Below are 4,596 nucleotides of genomic sequence, written 5' to 3' on the forward strand. Positions count from 1 at the left end.
TGAGATAATCTTTGAATGTAATATATGTGTAATATATACTGAATCCCTAGAGGTAGGTGTGCAAAAGTACATTTTAAAACACCAAAAAGCAACCAGCCACCTGGAGCTAAACCTTTGGAGCAGAGTGCTGAAGAAAAAGTGGCTTTGCCAAATGAACACAGAGGAGGGCCAGTACTCCAGACGCTGAAAACCATGTTTTTGTGTTGGCATTCATTCTTCTTTTTTCCAGCAATATTAACTTTTTTGACAAACCACATGAACTGTAGAGGAGTACGTGTTGGACTAAAATTGTGCTAAAAAAATTTCCTCCTCTGAAAATTAGAGAAGTAAAAATATTGCATAGCTAGTAAAAATAGTCAGTAAAAAGAATGAACACCCATACTCATGTGGGCACCGTAAGTGGGCAAATGAAGAGCACAGCATGCTCTGGTCATGCATAAACTTTTATTCTTTTGTTAGATTGGTTAAATGATTATAAAATATTTTGCTATATATGTTGGTTCTCATAATTTGTTAGGGAGTAGGTTTTTTTTTCTTAAGCTGACTGGCTGTTTTCCTTTTAGGAGAAATGAAGTTGTTTGAATTGGAGAGTAGAGTGGGAGGAAGCATTTTAAACGACTGTTACTTGCCAACTGTGCTGTTGCAGCTAGAGAAAACCTGGAAGAATTCTGTAATAGCTCTGCTAGTTTCTCCTCATTGCACAACAGTATGACTGCTACAGAGACAGCAAACAGAGGAAGGGGAGAATGGGTTACAATCAGGTAATTAAGCTTCTCTTTGGCTAGATAATTTTCTAGTGGATAGAAATATGCTTGCACAATAGTACAATGAGAATTTTGTTATTTAGGAAAACTTTGTTTTATATGTAGCAGAGTTATAGACCTACAGGGTAGATAACTGGAAACCATGTTAGAAATGTGTATCTCAGCTCCCTCCTTTTACAAATAAGATCAGAGCAGTTAAATATGTTTAAGATTTCATAGCTACTAAGCAGTCATTCCTCTCTATAATTCTACCTCTGTAATATAAATCCTTTGAAAAAGCCACAAGCAAATATTTGTAGCATTTCTGGACAAATTAAGATCTTTCTGAATATTTATACAATAGAAATGCCACTTTAAATACACAAAGGAGATGTGCTATTTTAAAAAACTCAAATTAATTTTTAATGCACATAAATATCCTTTCATCAATACAGTTCTTAGACTTGAATTTTTAAATAGTATTTTATTTTCCTGGGAAAAGGAAGTAACTGTATTATATCCTAAAATTATGATAATGAAAAAATCAATGTTCTTATCACAACAGCTAAAGAAATAACTGCAGTGATCCTATCAACTCTGTTTGATAATTATCGAGAAATGTTTAATATTACTATTCCAATATATAGGGTGCCCAACTGTTTTCACCAACAAGGAAATCTGGAGATTACCCAACTAGAATAAAATCAAGCACCATTAAATCTGGCATGCCTTTTGCTTTTCTGACACCTGTAAACCTCTTTCCATACCACCCCCACCTGGTTTTTAATTTATTGACTACACATTTTAGTCAGCTGCAGGCACCATCTGTTTCTAAACACTTAGCATCCATGCCTGATAAACTGCTGTATAAATACTTTGGGGACTTCCTTTGTACCCGTTGTCAACATTTCCCCACTACATTTCCATCTTCGGAGCTTACATTTCCAATCATACCTTAAATAAAATATCCAATTACAGTCTGAGAAAAGTCTCCAGGTTTATAAAAGAAGATAAGTAAAATCATGTTATGTTTAGAAGACATGTGAGAAGTCACATCATATTCTCCTCTTATCTTTATCCAAGGTCTTGGTTTTCCTTTCAGAGGTTATAGCTCAATTTCAACAACATGCTCACACCAATGCAGCATTTTATTTCAACAAATATTTCAGTGCCCACATGTTGCAGACACTGAAACATCATGGTATTGGGGGGTGGGGGTAGAAGTAGGTTAGCATTGAAACCAAGGGGTTAATTTGATCAGGTATGCATGCTCTACTCTGCTTGGGTTTTGTTATTTCTTTTTCCTTCTTCCATGAACCTGAAGGCCATGGTAGCTACTTTTAACTTTTCCATAGGCTAGGAAATCTGTCTCACTTAGGCATGCCTTGAGGTATGTATACCTAATCTAATCTCCAACTTCTTTGCCTGTCCCAAGACCTCTTCCCCATGGCTGTTGCCACCAGCCAGTTCCTCCCATTCTTACAGACTCTAGTTTCTCACTCTCATCTCTAAACATTCATGTGGTTGCTGGAATTCACTTTAGAATCTAGAACCAGGATCAATCACCACGTGTTCAGGGAGCCCCAAAGCAACTCCTGTTCACCCCCAAACAATAACAGACATTAACACAAACAACAGCATAAGCTTAGAAATATGAAACCTGCCAAAAAACAGAAATAAAAGATAGTAAAAGAGTCTGAGCCTATTAAGACAGGGCAGAAACAAGATTTTAAATAGAATCACGAAGTCTGACTAGGCGGATTTTCACAGGGTTTTTCAAGGTCAGCTGGTTGATTTCTTCCTTTTCTCCTGATTTGGGGTTTTTGTTGGAGTTTTGTTTTTGTTTTGCTCTTGTTTTGAATGACTCCAATAGCTCCTTCCCACATCTTGGTCATCCAAAAGGAAATCTATAGTTTTCTCATCATCCAGAGGCTACATTTAGCCACTTCAACCCACACTTAGAACACCAAGAGTTCTGTCTGGGAGAACTGAGTGGGGAGAAAAAGGTAAGCGCTCTGGTTCCATCTGAGTTCACCAAGTCCCAATATTCTGTGTGGGCATTTAACAGAAAGAGGTTTTCCAGCTTCACATGCTGTGAAGAAATCCCTGCAGCTTCAAAGGGGTGTCAGTGGGAACCTTCCCTGTGTATATTTTCTAGCTTCTCTGTGGGTCTAAAATCTCCCCAGCTGAAACTCTGAGGTGGGACCTCCCATCTATAGACCTCCTATTTCAGCCTGACCTGTGAAACACACAACCTAGGTTCTTACTGTGGAAGAAGCTGAGTCTTTCTTGTTTTAGGCCCTTGACTGGTTACCTCATGCCTTTTTTAAAACTAAAACATCTTTGGGCAGGAACTTTCTACCTGTTTTTTGACCATGTATTTAAGATCAGGTATATCTAAGGGCAAGTTCACCAGACCTGCTTCCCACACAAGATGCAATGTTTTCAGACATCATTCAGACTGTTATCTTGCAGTATGCTTCCCAACTGAAACCTTACTAATTGTTCAACACGATAGGTAAGATTTCTTATGTAAACTTGTACCATGAAAACATCACCTTATGAATATTAAATAGTGAAGAAAAAATAAAATTAGGATTTTCTCAGAAAACTTTTAACTTCTTGAAACATTTCAGCATATTTAACGAAAATGCTTGAAGTTAAATATGAGTCCTATACAGATAGGACTCAGTATATATCATATATATTCAGATAATATATGGACTAGTGTTGGTCTAAAAGTTCATTGTAAATTATTTGAGATTCAGTAAGTTTTTTCATAAAGAAAATGATATGTGGTGCTTAAATGACGGATACCAATCTTCATTAGCACATTTGATTCCTAAGGCATTGGCATTTAATTTGACACTCATTGAATTATTTCCATTGTAGTAAACCTAAACCTCCATGTATACTCGAGAACCGGGTTCAGTCTAAGTCCTGCTGCTCGCTGCACAGAAAGCCAATCATTTAGACAATCAGTACTGCCGAGCAAGAAGGCTTTATTCAGATGCTACAGCTGAGATGGGTGCTCAGCCTGAAATCCATCTCTCTGACTGACTAAAACTAGGGGTTTATAAAGCAAGGAAGAAATGTTAACAACATGTAAGAAAGCAGGAACTAATGAGGAACAAGGTGACATCTGGTACCCTGACCTGGTGAGTTTCAGTTCTTTGATACTTTGAGAGGCCTGAAGGTTCTTTCCTGAAGAAGGAACTCAGATAAAACAAATACAAGTTTCAAGTTTTAACAGTAGAAAGGTCAATTTCTATGTTTATCCAAAAACAACTGTCTATGGGACTACTGGGCCATTTTCGGTGGGAGACGAAAACTAATGCTTACTTAGCAACTACTAAGTGCCAAAATGAAGTAGTATGTTAAGTCCTACTTAATTTCCTATTTACAAGGCATTTGAAAATCTAGTCATGGAAAGTCTGATAGGGCCTATAATTATATAATCACATGTTAATGTTGAAATCTTTCTAGTTATTGCAGAGCAAGAGTTTTCCTCTATGCACCAGGGGGCAATGCTTGGTCATAGATGTAAAGATGAGTAACAGTGTTTCTACTCTCAGTGGAGCTTTAGAAGAATACACAAAGAAACCTAAACAGGTCAATGCCCTTATAACAGTACTGCATTAGTCCTTGACTTCCATAAGCAGCATGGGTCTAAGATTGACTAAGAGGTTTGGAGTCAGATATAGATGCACAAAACTGTTTCAGTAAACATTCATCCTAAGACTCAACCACATTATGGAACCTAACTTTACAGTTGTCATGAAGCTGTATGGGAAAACATATGGAAACAAGTACTTACTGTGTCTTGTGTGAAAAAAGCTTTAAAAAAATACGG

At 37.1% G+C, this 4,596-nt stretch overlaps 1 long non-coding RNA gene across 1 annotated transcript in view; it reads left to right on the forward strand.

The window, feature by feature from the left end:
- Window positions 1-639: 639 nt before the first annotated feature.
- LOC105370266 (uncharacterized) overlaps window positions 640-4,596 on the forward strand; it is a 28,223-nt gene continuing 24,266 nt past the window's right edge. Inside the window, exon 1 of the long non-coding RNA XR_942099.3 lies at window positions 640-761. This is a non-coding gene — a long non-coding RNA (uncharacterized LOC105370266). The remainder of the gene's footprint in view (window positions 762-4,596) is intronic.

This window comes from Homo sapiens, chromosome 13 (assembly GCF_000001405.40).
Source record: "Homo sapiens chromosome 13, GRCh38.p14 Primary Assembly".
NCBI lineage: Eukaryota > Metazoa > Chordata > Mammalia > Primates > Hominidae > Homo > Homo sapiens.